The sequence below is a fragment of the Homo sapiens genome, chromosome 11, assembly GCF_000001405.40.
Source record: "Homo sapiens chromosome 11, GRCh38.p14 Primary Assembly".
NCBI lineage: Eukaryota > Metazoa > Chordata > Mammalia > Primates > Hominidae > Homo > Homo sapiens.
The window spans coordinates 67,402,547-67,414,939 of record NC_000011.10 but is presented as its reverse complement, the minus strand read 5'-3'; the positions used below and the strand labels follow the sequence as shown (position 1 = coordinate 67,414,939).

Genomic DNA, 12,393 nt, shown 5'->3' with positions numbered 1-12,393 from the left:
GGGCAACATAGCAAGACCCTGTCTCTATAAAAAAAAAAAATTTAAACTAGCTGGTTGAGGTGGTGTGGGCCTGTAATCCCAGCTACTTGGGAGGCTGAGGTGGGAAGATCACATGAGCCCCGGGGGTCGAGACTGCAGTGAGTCCTGGTTGTGCCACTGCACTCCAGCCTGGGCAATACAGTGAGAGCCTATCTCTCTCGCTCGCTCCGCTTTTTTTTTTTTTTTTTTTTTTTTTGAGACAGAGTTTCAGTGTGTCGGCCCAGGCTGGAGTGCAGTGGTGTGATCTCAGCTCACTGCAACCTCTACCTCCCAGGTTCAAGTGATTCTCCTGCCTCAGCCTCCTGAGTGGCTGGGATTACAGGCACACGCCACCACGCCTGGCTAATTTTTGTGTGTTTAGTAGAGACAGGGTTTCGCCGTGTTGGCCAGGCTTGTCTTGAACTCCTGACCTCAGGTGCTCCTCCTGCTTCGGCCTCCCAATGTCCTGAGAATACAGGTGTAAGCCACTGTACCCAGCCGAGACCCTATCTCTCTCTCTTTTTTTTTTTTTTTTTTTTGACCCTATCCCTTTTTTTTTTTTTTTTTTTTTTAAGACAGAGTCTTACTCTGTCACCAGGCTGGAGTGCAGTGGCACAATCTTGGCTCACTGCAACCTCCGCCTCCCCGGGTCCAGTGATTCTCCTGCCTCAGCCTCCCAAGTAGCTGGGACTACAGGTGCGAGCCACCATGCCCAGCTACTTTTGTTTTGTTTTGTTTTGTTTTGTTTTTGAGATGGAGTTTCGCTCTTGTTGCCCAGGCTGGAGTAGCTGGGATTATAGGCATGCGCCACCATGACAGCTAATTTTGTATTTTTAGTAGAGACAGGGTTTCTCCATGTTGGTCAGGCTAGTCTCGAACTCCCGACCTCAGGTGATCTGCCCGCCTCAGCCTCCCAAAGTATTAGGATTACAGGCATGAGCTACCGCGCCCAGCCCACCCAGCTAATTTTTGTATTTTTAGTGGAGACGGGGTTTCATGATGTTGGCCAGGATGGTCGCAATCTCCTGACCTCATGATCTGGTCACCTTGGCCTCCCAAAGTGCTAGGATTACAGGTGTGAGCCACTGCACCTGGCCCCCCTATCTCTTTAAAAAAAAAAAAAAAGAAAGAAAAAAGAAGAGAAAAGAAAGGAAAAGAAATCTGCTCTGCTTATCAACACCCACCCAGGTCAACTTCACACCCGGAGTTGAAGCTATAATCTCCCCAAGACATACATACTCACACCCAAGTGTACCCACCCAACCACAGAAGCATACCCCAGGAGACCTGGGTCTCAGCCACAATTCACCCACAGAAGCACAACCAGAGATTCACCCCCTCTCCTGGAGTGTGTCCCACCAGTGGGTTTCAATCCTAGCTCTGGCTGTGGGACCTGGGCCCCTCCCCTTTGTGATCTGAAGCTCACTCTCCCCAGCCTAGAATGGGGCTGGTTTCCCTCTCCTAGGCAGGGCAGCCTATGGCTCTAACTCCTCCCTCTCACAGTCCCCAGTCAGCCCTTCTCCCTGCCTGTCTCGCAACTGGACACATATTGAGCCCTGGCTGTCCTTGAGAGCCTCCTGGCCTGGGGGAGAATACTGAGGGGCCCACACATGTCAGGGACAGAGATGACAGCTGTTGGACCCTTTCTGCAACTATATACAGGGCAGTCTGTGCAGACCCATCCCTGTCTACCACTGGAGAGGGTCGGCAGAGAGGGGAAATGGCTTCTCCAGGATGCCCAGTCCAGCCCACATTCCCCACACAACTTCCAGGCCCACGTGCAGCCCTCCCTACAGCTGGTCCAGGCTCCAGGAATGAGGAACCAGCCCCATTCTAGGCTGGGGAGAGTGAGCTTCAGATCACTAAGGGGAGGGGCCCAGGTCCCACAACCACCCCAGGAGACCCAATCGCTTGCCACCTGGGTGGCCTGAGCGCCCATGGGGTCCCACTGTGGGGCCTGGGCGTGATCCAAAGAGCATGAGCTTTGACATTTAACATTTAACAAGCTCTGCAGCCCTGGGGACTCAGTTTTCTCATCTTCAAATGGGGATACAGTGCACACTCAGCCCAGGCTTAACACTTCACATGCAAGGGAGCAATTATGAGACTGAGAGAGGTCGTGTGACTTGCCCAAGGTCACACAGCTGGTGAGAGGCAGAGCCGGGATCTTCTGCCAGAATGCGTGCATGCATGCACAGAGTGCTGCGGCTGTGCCCTCTCCTAGGCCACCCTGTCTGGTCCCTGGCTGCTCTGGCTTTTGCCTTGTGGATACAGGGAGGAAAATCAGAGTTGGGCAGCTGCAGCCCAAGCTCAGGATCCTGGGACTTGGGGCAGGCAGGTGGGCGGGTGGTTCTGCTCTGCCCCTGCCAGGAAAGCCTGGACATCACCTGAGGCTAGGTAGGGGTGGGGTGAGGAGAGGCAGTGCTTTGGCTGCTGTCCCGCTGGACTGAACAGTCATCATCATCATCATCATGAGCTGGTAGAGCCCTCTTGAGGCTGGGGTGGGGGCTATTATAATCCCATTATCCGCAGGAGAATACTGAGGCTCAGAGGAGAAGAAAGGGCCTTTCCCATGCAGGTGAGTCCAAGTCTGACCCCTCTGGGAGCCTGGAACAGTGTGGGAATTCAGGGAACCTCAAGTGGGTGGCAGGGCAAGATGGAGACCGTGGGTCCTCCCCGCCGATCCATGGCAGGCACCCATTTGTCCTGCTCCACTCCTTTGCATGCCCCCACTCGTGTCCACTCTGAGGCAGGCTGACAGACATCCCAGGGGCCCTCCCAGCTTCAGTCCCCACACACTGAGTCCTCTCAGATGCATCACTTCCCTTCTCTGAGCCCCCTTCCAGGCAGATCTGTAGGGACTTTCTAGGTTCACTGAGCATGTTTGTGTAGGTTGCTCACTGCACAAAGGCACCTGGGAGAGAGATCACACCCCACTCTGCTACACCGTGCACTCTGGTGAGGCTGCATGTTGCCTGGAGGAGAGACGTCTTTCCCTAGCTGGCAAAAAGGTGCTGTGGGGGCCGGTGCAGCCCTGCGGAGGAGAGCCTGTGAGAACGCATGTGTGCGAGGGTTCACACCCGGAGGGCACTGGGCCTCTTCTGTCCAGCCTGTGAGTTAGGGCTCCCATGCAGGTGACTGATAAGGAAACCTACAGAAGAGCTGCCCAGAAAACAGTCTCCTGAGTAGGAAAGGCAATGACTGAGCCCCAGCTGGAGGGACGCTGCTGGAGACCACCGGCTCCTAGGGTCTGTGTCCAGGGTGAGCCACTGCCACCGCGCCCCCGCAGGCTCATGACAGACCCTCGGCCCAGGGCTGAGGCTGCTGCACCTTGCTCCTCTATTCTCCCAGGCAAAGAGCTGAACTGTGGAGGGCGGGGAGCTCCCAAGTGGATTTCAGGGACAAGTGCCCCCTGACCCCGGCCACCCTGCCCGCTACAGTGCCTGAGATTCCACCAAGACACTCCTCGTCTAAGGATAAGGCATAGTCTACACAGCACAGAGCCTTGCCTCTGCATTCCAGCCGGCTCTGCCTTTCACTGTGGGCCTGGGTGAGGTCCTTGTCCTCACTAAGCCTGTGTCTCTAACAGGGATATCAGGGGCCACCTGCAGAGAGAGGGCCTAGGGGCGGGGGGTCTGGGAAAGGGTTTTGTAAACTACAGGTAAGGAGGCTATTATTAAGTTGCAGGCACCCCAGCGGGGTAAGGAGGAGTGGGCAGAGGAGGCTCTGGAGCGCGCTCTAAATCACGGGAGTCTGGCTATTGCCTCATTCACACACTGAGGGGCTGGTGCAGGATTGGGGGTAGAGCGGGGAAGGAGCAGGAGAAAGCACTCCCAGGGGGCTGCCCAGGGGGGAGCTGCCAGTGGTTGGGGCAGGGCTAAACCTTGGGTCTGCTATGGATAGATAGTAAGGCTTTCTGCAAGTTCCTGCTCCTCCTGAGCCTCAGTTTCCCCCGGAGAAACGACAGATAAGGAAGGGTCTGGGCCGCCATGATTCCCTCTTCCAGGGGTTAGGCTCCTTGGGAGTAGGACAAGTCTGCCCAGGACCCAGGACCTGGCACTTGCCACATAGACGCAGCCTGTGGCCCTGTCGCAAGAACATTCCAAACCCAGAGTCTGACAGGTGACTCCACTGACACCCCACCCAATGGCCACCCCTGGAGCCTGGGCCTGCAGATGCCTCCCATCCATATGGAGTCCTGCCGTGTTCCCCATCGAAGGGAGGGCACTTGGGAATGGACACTGCGGGACACACGCCTGTGTCGGAACCAGCCCTGTTGCCCTGGCGATGGCTCAGGTCCTGGGCACCCACGGGGGCTATTAGTGAGTGTGGGAGGGGGTTTCCATGGTGGCGGTCCCGAGGGGGCAGACGCAGGGCCCAGGGAGGGGTGAGGGCTGGCGGGACCTTTCTCCTTTGTCCGAGGCACACTAGGCCTTTGTTCTTGCCTGGATCCCTTTGACAGATGTGACTAGAACCATGGGTGCGGGGAGGACTTGGGTTAGAGTCCCCCATCCCAGCGAGTACTGAACCACCCTGGAGGGAGGGGAAGGAGGGCAGAAGAGGGGGTAGAGCCCCTGGACTCGCCATCCACTGGGGCGCCCTCCTCCTGCAGGTGCAAAAGCCACTCCTGTCCCCAGAGGCTGGGCAGGGCAACTTTCAATTGGCTCTTATTACTGTAAACACCTTCCCCAGCGGCCAGTGGGCAGCCTCGGTGTGTCCCCAGGGCAGGACCAGGAGAGGGCGGGGCTGGGAAGGGCAGATGAGGGAGGAGGGGAAGGGGCTGCCTGTCTGGGGTTGGGAGGAGGGCATTTGATCCAGCGCCATCCAAGGCATCTGTTCAAGAAGATTTTATTCCTGGTGCCCTCTGGGGTCCCTTGACTCAGCCAACCCCTTCCCTGACTCCTTTGGTGCTGGCTTTGGTACTTGTGAGGGCCTGGGCACCAGGACGGTTCCATGGGTCCTCACGTGCCCCACTCTGTGACCCTCCTCCATGCTAGTGCCTGACCCAGTATGTACCACGGAGGACCTCCTCCTTCCCCACTGCCTGGTCCTTGCCAGGAAGGAAGCCAAGTCCCCGAGTCCCAAGAGTAAAGTGCGGTGCCTATTTGCCGGGCCGGCATCAGCCATCAGGCAATTGAGACTGGGGGACACTAAGTCCATGGTCCTCTCAGAAGCGGGTGTCCAGGAAGGAGGTGGAGCCTCGTTGGGGCCTGGGGGGCCCCTCGATGGGGGGGCCCCGGGCCCGAGTCAGGAGCCCATGGAAAGTCTTGCCGCGGGTCTGGGGTTTCCGCCGCGGTGGTCTGGGCTCCTCCGGGGGCTGCACCACAATCCGAGGCACCTCAGGCTTGGCGCCTCGTCGCACTCCTGCCAGCTGCTGGGCCTCAAAGATGGCTTGGGCCCCGGCGAGGCGGACCTGTGGCCGGGGCGGGGGTCCCGGCGCGGAATCGGGCAGCTGGGCCAGCTGGGCCTTGATCTCCCGCTGCAGGTCCCGCTCTGACAGCACCACGCTGTGCACCTGTGGGGAGCAGTTGGTGCTGCGTTTGCCCGGCCTCAAGGCAGGAACAGGAAACTGTGAGGTCCCCAGCCCAGGAAGTGGCTGAGGACTGAGGGGCTGACAGCCTCACTGGGGAGCCACAGAAAGCCACTGGAGGCCTCAGGTTTTTGTGTTCTCTGAAGCTCAGGGGACAGGAACTAAGTCCCCATTCTCGCTTTGGCTTCCTGCTCTGGGACTCAGTTTCCCCCGTGCAGCAGGGGCTGGGCAAGTCCAAGGAGAGGTGGGGGTACCCACCTGTGACATGAAGGCCTCCTCCTGCAGCTGCGCGGGGGGGATGGCTCGAAGGGCTCCCAGTGTCTCCAGGAGGCCAGGGCAGGCCCCTCGCTGCTCTGCAGTGCCCAGCGCCAGGCGCACCAGTGTCAGCCCCACACGGAACAGTACTCTGGCACCTGCAGGCCGGGGGCTTATTCACTGGGAGGCCGGCCCTGCCCCTCCACAGTTCTGCACCCAAACCTGCCCTCAGCCATATGCCTCCCACTCTCCTGCAGCTCTGCCCTCCCCGGTTCAGGAACAATGACAGAGGGTGGAGTTGCATTTCGGGTAACACAGGCCGCTGTACTGGCCAAGTTAGCCTCAAGAGCCACAGATGCTTTGGGGAAGAGTTACTATCTTGTGAATTTGGTTACTGTCGCCTCCCATCCCCACCCCCGCCAAAATGAAGGTCTTGATCACTTGATGCTCAGATGCCATCCATATCTGGAGCCAGCAAGCACCCAGCAGGTGCCTGTGGGCTCCGGGGAGGAGCACCTCCTACCCTCCCTGAGCCAGTCAGGCCTCCATGTGCTATGATCACCCAGCTCCTACCCCAGGCAGCATCCGGGTGACAGGTGATGTGCCACCAGGCACAGGGCCATCACCTTCAGCACACCTGGTCCCATGACTCGAGGCTCCAAAAGGGAACCCTGGAGCTGGTGAGCTAGCTCCCTGTCCACACCCCAAGGCTCCAGTCCCCTCCAAGCCACCAGCTTCCTGCCAGGAGCCCAGGGCTACTGATGCCTTCACACCAAGCCCTCCCTGGGCCTCAGCTTGCTCATCTCCATGATGAAAGGTCAGGTGGAGCCCTTTAAGGGCCTTTCCAACTTGGATCTGTGACCCTCTGATTCTAGAAAGATCCTAGGCAGAACTGCTCTTCCCTAAGCCAGGAGCATAGCACTCAGTGCACACTCCCCACAGTGTGAGTTTGGGCTAGTCCTGGAGCCTCAAAATTCCTTCCTGGCAGCCTCTGATCTGAGAAGAGCCACCAGGGGACCAGCGAGGTTGAGTGATGATGGTAGGAACAATCACTATTCATACTATCGTCCTTCTGATAAAGGGAGCCTGTGTAGTGTTTGCCCCCAGGTGGGCAGGTCAGGCCCTGCCCAGCTCTGCCCAGCCCTGCTCTCGAGGTCTAAGGCTGGTTGGAAGGTGACCGCATGGATAGCGACTTGGACACCTGTGGCCAGAACTCTAAGTCAGCCAGTGGTCCTCCGCTGTGCGGAGGGCAGGAAGCCGGCTGAGCACACGACAGGCATTCAGTATGCACAGTATGCATATGCTGACTGATTTCTACCACGTTTTAAGGTGCAACCTCCAGACCTCACATATAGAACAGAATGCAGGTGGGTTACCGATGGCAGTATCAAGGCAGAGTCCCAAAGACACAGGGAGTCCAGCTTGGCTCTGCTCCGACTCCCCTCCTGTTCTTGGCCTGGCCCCCAGCCTCCACCTCTCTGGCTTCATGGCTCCAAGCCCTCCCTGCTTCGTAGACTGTAGCCTGGCCCCTGGGGACAGTGGCCTCTCTGGCCCCAGGCCTCCACAGCCACCCCTGTGAGTCCTCCTCCTGCACAGAGCAGCCAGAAGGAGCTTAAATGCAGCCATCGCCCCTGCACTCCCCTGACACTCCCTGTCACATCCCTTGTTTTATTTTCTTCATGACACTTCTGACAATCTATAAATATCTTGTGAATTTGGTTACTGTCGCCACCCATCCCCACCCCCGCCAGAATTGAAGGTCTCGATCACTTGATTCCCAGCTGCAGATCCACGTCTGGAGCCAGTGAGCACCCAGCAGGTGCCTGCGGGCTCTGGGGAGGAACGCCTCCTACTGTCCCTGAGAAGCTCAGGCCTCCATGTGCTGTGATCACCCTGCTCCTGCCCCATCTGCCTCCTCTGGAAGCCTCCCTGGCCCAGCTCTGCACCAGGCGGTGCCTGGGTGATGGGTGATGGGTGATGTAGCGCCAGGCACCAGGCCATCACCTTCGGCACACCCAGTCCTGTGATTTGAGGCTCAAAAAGGGAACCCTGGAGCTGGTGAGCTACCTCCCCACCCACACCCCAAGGCTCCTGCCCCAGCCACTGGCTGCCCCACTCACCCTCACTGAGGAAGGCATCCCAGACACGCAGCACTGTGGGGAAGGGCAGGGAGCGGGCGAAGAGGCACAGGAACCACTCGGGCAGGTACAGCAGGGGTCCGACGCCCACCTGCTGCAGGTGCTTGTGCACGTGCGGAAGCAGCCGCCGCAGCAGGGCCATGAACACCTCGGCGTCCAGCCGCACAGCCTCCTGTGGCCACGTCCATCAGCAGGCCAGCACCGCCACCCCCAGAGCCCAGGCTCAACCTCCCTCAGTCCCCAGACCCCCACCCACTCACCGGGCCCCTGCCCCTCCTTCCTCCAGCCCCCATGTCAGCCTCTCACCATGTGGGGCCCGTAGTACCCAGGGAGGTAGACCTCACAGATCTGCACCAGGCACCAGAAGGCCTCCTGGGGAAGGGGCAGGGCACAGGCCTGTAAGTGCTCACCAAGGAAGGGACCGTGGAGGAGAAGGCAGGACAGGGGAAAGGAGTGAAGGGGAGGGCCTGGGCACCACAGGGGCCTGCACTCAGGGCCACTCCTAACCTGCGCAGTTCCTGGAAGCCCTTCCCAAAAGCCCCCTCCTCTGCCCAAGACAGGGTCTGCTGAGGGGTTTAGGGTGTTGGAAATCACAGGGCTCATGGTGTTAGATTTGAAGGTCACAGGGTTGGGGTTCACTGGCCAAGGGTTGGGAGTGTCCCAAAGTTCAAGTCCTGGGTTTCTGGGTCTTTGGGGTTGGGGTCGCAGTCCCCAAGTTCAGAATCAGGAGTCGTGGGGTCAAGGTGATAACATCCAGATTCCTAGATGACTGGGGTCAAGGCTGGGGTCAAGGGTCCCAGGTTCCTGGAGTCAAGGTCATTAGGCTTGAAGGTCACTGAGGCTGGCAGTCATGAGGACCTGGGTCACTAGGACAGGGTCCAGGAATCAAGGATTGCAGGTTTCTGAGGCCACAGTTCCTGGGGATGGGGTTCCCTGGGCCTAGGTCACTAGGGTTCCCAGAGCAGGGTCAAGGTCACTCACCTCTGGGGGCAGGTGCATGAGCAGCACAGCAGCCACGGGCCCCTGGGCCTGGCAGTAGCCCTGCTCCGGTCGATACAGGGTGTAGGCCTTGAGCACCTGCAGGAGCCCCTGCTGCCTGTGCCGGAAGACCCCATAAGGGGCCAGTCCTGCAGGCACCCCCTTCTCCACCCTCTGGGGGCCTCTGCCCAGGCCTCAGCCTCCCTGGGCCTTCCTGGGTCCCCTGAGATGCAAGACTGTAGAGCTGGGCTAGGGAAAGTGGGCTGGAGCACCTGGGGCTTGTGGGGCTGGGGGTCCCTGGGCATCACCGGCCTCGTACCCGTGGCCCTGAGGCGACACAAACATCTCGTGCAGAGGGAATTGACGGTGCAGGTCCCTGCCAATGGTCTCCATCCACTGTGGGTCTCCAGGGGCCTCTGCCAGCTCCTGTGGGTAGCCAGGAAGGTGGGTGTGAGGGTTCAGTGTGGTGAGGGGCTCTGGGTAGGGGAATTGGGGCCCCTGCCCACTCCCTCACCTGATAGGTGCCAGGGCTGTTCTTCTGGCACACATGGGCCCCACACAACAGGGGCCAGCATCGGGCGCGCAGGGCAGACGGGATGCCTTTCCGGCACTGCATCTTTACCTGTGGGTGAGGCCAAGGGCTCCACTAGGCAGCCTCCATAGCTCCTGCTGGCAGGCCCCAGGCACAGCTCATCAGCAGGCAGGGGCCCACTTTGGGTGGCAGGGAGCAAAGGCCGGAGGTGCTGGGACACAGGGTGGGTACATTTTGCCAAGATGTGGGCTGAGGCAGAGAGGAATGAGCCATGGAAGCCAAGTGGGGCCCCTGCCCCCCTCACCTTCTTGTACCGCCGGGACATGGTTTTCTCCCAGTGCGAGGTCATCTCCACCCACTTCATCTCCCGTTGGCGGATGAGGTCTGCAGGTGGGTGGCCCGGCCTGGGGGTGCATGGCACAGGTATCCAGACGCTGGGCAGCTGTTACCCAAGGCCCACACTGCCACCCTCCAGGCTACCCAGGTGAACCCAGCTCCTGGCCCTAGGGATCTCTGGGAGCCCTGTGGGGTGACCTGTGACCCAGGAGCTGCCAATGCTTGTCACGGGGACAGGAAAGGATGTGGCTCCGACGTGGGCAGAAGCAGGAGACTGAAGGGGTGAGTGGGTGTGTATTGGGGGAGGGACTGGTTGGCTGTCACCCAGGACAGGGACACAGACAATTCATAGGGGAAGCTGGCTGGAGAGAGCCCTGGACTGGAAGCCCAGAGTCCTGAGTTTGAGTCTGGGTCTGTGTCTGATCTGTGTGACCTGGGGCAAGTTTCTGTCTATATCTGGACTTGTGTTTCTGTCTGTAGCTTGGGGAAAGGGGGAAGGAGGAGGTATGGGTTCTGTGATTTGGATCTGGGATTCCTGAGCCAGAGGTTCAAAGGGGAAGGATGTTCTGCCCCAGTAGTGGGTGCAAACCCTCGGAGGCTGGGGGTAAGAGACGTACAGAGGCCTCCCCGGACCCTTCCCACCTTAGGGTTCCACCTGGCACCTGCAGAGGGGTGCTACTGGCTGAGTCCCCCTCCCAATCCCTACCACCAGACCCTCCCGGCCTCCCTCCAGAATTCAGCCCTCAGCCCCCTGTCCTCTGTCCCAGCATTCCGCCAGCCCTCACCCTGCCCCCTTACCCTGGCTCTGCTGAGCTGCCCCCAATGAATCCATAGCGGTCGGCCTGGCGATATGGGCCAGGCCCGCTGAGCTCTGAGTCGGACCCCAAGGAGCTGGAGTCATCCTGCAGCTCGGGAGGCTGCACCAGGTCCTCCCCCAGGGCCTGGGCCATGGTGCCCGGGGCCTTCGATGCCACAGGCAGAGAAAGTGGGGAGAACCAGTGTGAGGGGCCACTCCCGGCCAGCCTGGGGCCTGGCTGCGGGGTCAGAGGGGGGAGGTTTCAGGGTATCTCACCAAGCCCCCTATGTCTCCTCTTTTATGGGGGCAGGGGCTAGGCCCTGCCCTGACAGAAAAGCCAGGCCTCTGTCCGGAGACCCAGCCCCAAGCCCTGCCCCTGTCCCCACCAGCCCAGCTCACCTCCCGCAGCACCTCACCTCCTCCTCTCACTTCCTCCTCCTCCTCACACAGCTTTGGCAACCGCTGGGGGCCCCTCCCAAGGGTGGGGGGTGTCACCCCTTCCTCTCTGAGGCTCTTCCTGCCTGCCCCAGTGCCCCTGAGCTGTGGGCTCCTCCCACCTTCCCCATGGCCCCAGTGACTGCAGGCTTGAGTTCCTGTGCTGGTGTGGAGGGCCCAGGACTGTTAGACGCAGGGGCCGGGCCACCTCCAGTTCTTTTGTTTGTTTCTTTTGAGACAGAGTCTCGCTCTGTTGCCCAGGCTGGAGTGCAGTGGCGCGGTCTCAGCTCACTGCAACCTCCACCTCCCGGATTCAAGTGATTCTCCTGCCTCAGCCCCCCAAGTAGCAGGGACTACAGACAAGCACCACCATGCCCGGCTAATTTTTGTATTTTTAGTAGAGACAGGGTTTTTGCCACATTGGTCAAACTCTTGACCTCAGGTGATCCATCCACCTCAGCCTCCCAAAGTGCTGGGATTGCAGGCATGAGCCACTGCGCCTGGACTTCATGTTTGTTTCTTGAGACAGGGTCTTGCTCTGTCACCCAGGCTGGAGTGTAATGGCACGATCTGGGCTCACTGCAACCTCCACCTCCTGGTCTCAAGAGATCCTCCTGCGTCAGCCTCCACAGTAGCTGGGACTGCAGGCGCGCACCACCATGCCCAGCTAATTTTTGTATTTTTTGTTGAGACAGGGTTTCGCTGTGTTGCCCAGGCTGGACGCAAGAGACCATCCCGCCTTAGCCTCCCAAAGTGCTGGAATTACAGGCCTGAGCCACCACGGCAGGCCCACTTCCAGTTCTGAGGTTACTGGCATGTAAAGCACCAACTCAGGGTTCCAACAAGAATTAAGGTTCATTTATCGTCTGCTCTTCTTTTTTTTTTTTTTTTTTTTGAGACAGTCTCGCACTGTCGCCTGGGCTCCACTTCCCAGGTTCAAGCGATTCTCCTGCCTCAGCCTCCCAAGTAGCTGGGATTACAGGAGGCTCCCATCATGCCCAGCTAACTTTTTGTATTTTTAGAGAGATGGGGTTTCACCATGTTGGCCAGGCTGGTCTCGAACTCCTGACCTCAAATGATCCGCCCGCCTAGGCCTCCCAAAGTCCTGGGATTACAGGCGTGAGCCACTGTGCCCAGCCACGTCTGCTCATAAAGTAATTATTTTTATGTGCACACCCTGCAATATTACTGTGCTACTCAAAAGCTAATTATGGGGCCAGGCTTGTTGGCTCACGCCTGTAATCCTAGCACTTTGGGAGGTCAAGGGGGGTGGATCACTTGAGGTTAGGAGTTCAAGGCCACCTGGCCAACATGGCGAAACCCCACCTCTGCTAAAAATACAAAAATTAGCTGGGCACAGTGGCGCACGCCTGTA

At 59.1% G+C, this 12,393-nt stretch overlaps 1 protein-coding gene across 17 annotated transcripts, besides 4 other annotated features; it reads right to left on the bottom strand.

The window, feature by feature from the left end:
* Nucleotides 1,897–2,396: an enhancer, noted in NCBI's record as "H3K4me1 hESC enhancer chr11:67180015-67180514 (GRCh37/hg19 assembly coordinates)". NCBI's record gives its function as "activates a minimal SCP1, AML or CMV promoter by ChIP-STARR-seq in naive H9 embryonic stem cells {active_cell/tissue: H9 hESC(naive)}" and the evidence as "EXISTENCE:reporter gene assay evidence [ECO:0000049][PMID:30033119]".
* Nucleotides 2,397–2,898: an enhancer, noted in NCBI's record as "H3K4me1 hESC enhancer chr11:67179513-67180014 (GRCh37/hg19 assembly coordinates)". NCBI's record gives its function as "activates a minimal SCP1, AML or CMV promoter by ChIP-STARR-seq in naive H9 embryonic stem cells {active_cell/tissue: H9 hESC(naive)}" and the evidence as "EXISTENCE:reporter gene assay evidence [ECO:0000049][PMID:30033119]".
* Nucleotides 2,925–3,064: an enhancer, noted in NCBI's record as "active region_5092". NCBI's record gives its function as "activates an Ori minimal core promoter by ATAC-STARR-seq in GM12878 lymphoblastoid cells {active_cell/tissue: GM12878}" and the evidence as "EXISTENCE:reporter gene assay evidence [ECO:0000049][PMID:35858748]".
* TBC1D10C (TBC1 domain family member 10C) lies at nucleotides 4,850–11,027 on the bottom strand. Of its 17 annotated transcripts, none has more exons than XM_006718538.5 (10): nucleotides 10,983–11,010; nucleotides 10,586–10,821; nucleotides 9,756–9,855; nucleotides 9,434–9,541; nucleotides 9,239–9,345; nucleotides 8,923–9,037; nucleotides 8,248–8,313; nucleotides 7,924–8,113; nucleotides 5,807–5,961; nucleotides 4,851–5,533 (listed from the first exon to the last, which is right to left on the bottom strand). In XM_006718538.5, exons 2-10 carry the CDS (start codon nucleotides 10,735–10,737, stop codon nucleotides 5,186–5,188), a joined length of 1,341 nt encoding a protein of 446 aa, XP_006718601.1. In that variant the 5' UTR covers nucleotides 10,738–10,821; nucleotides 10,983–11,010; the 3' UTR covers nucleotides 4,851–5,185.
* Nucleotides 9,710–9,879: an enhancer, noted in NCBI's record as "active region_5091". NCBI's record gives its function as "activates an Ori minimal core promoter by ATAC-STARR-seq in GM12878 lymphoblastoid cells {active_cell/tissue: GM12878}" and the evidence as "EXISTENCE:reporter gene assay evidence [ECO:0000049][PMID:35858748]".
* Nucleotides 11,028–12,393: the final 1,366 nt, after the last annotated feature.

What these genes read in the sequence shown, in the direction of transcription:
- TBC1D10C (NM_001369498.1), bottom strand. Translation starts at nt 10,737, where the DNA reads ATGGCCCAGGCCCTGGGGGAGGACCTGGTGCAGCCTCCCGAGCTGCAG. An exon ending in ACAGCCCTGGCACCTATCAG is followed by an intron (nt 9,346 to 9,433) that starts GTGAGGGAGTGG and finishes GGCTACCCACAG; the next exon opens with GAGCTGGCAGAGGCCCCTGG. An exon ending in TCATGCACCTGCCCCCAGAG is followed by an intron (nt 8,338 to 8,922) that starts GTGAGTGACCTT and finishes GAGCACTTACAG; the next exon opens with GCCTGTGCCCTGCCCCTTCC.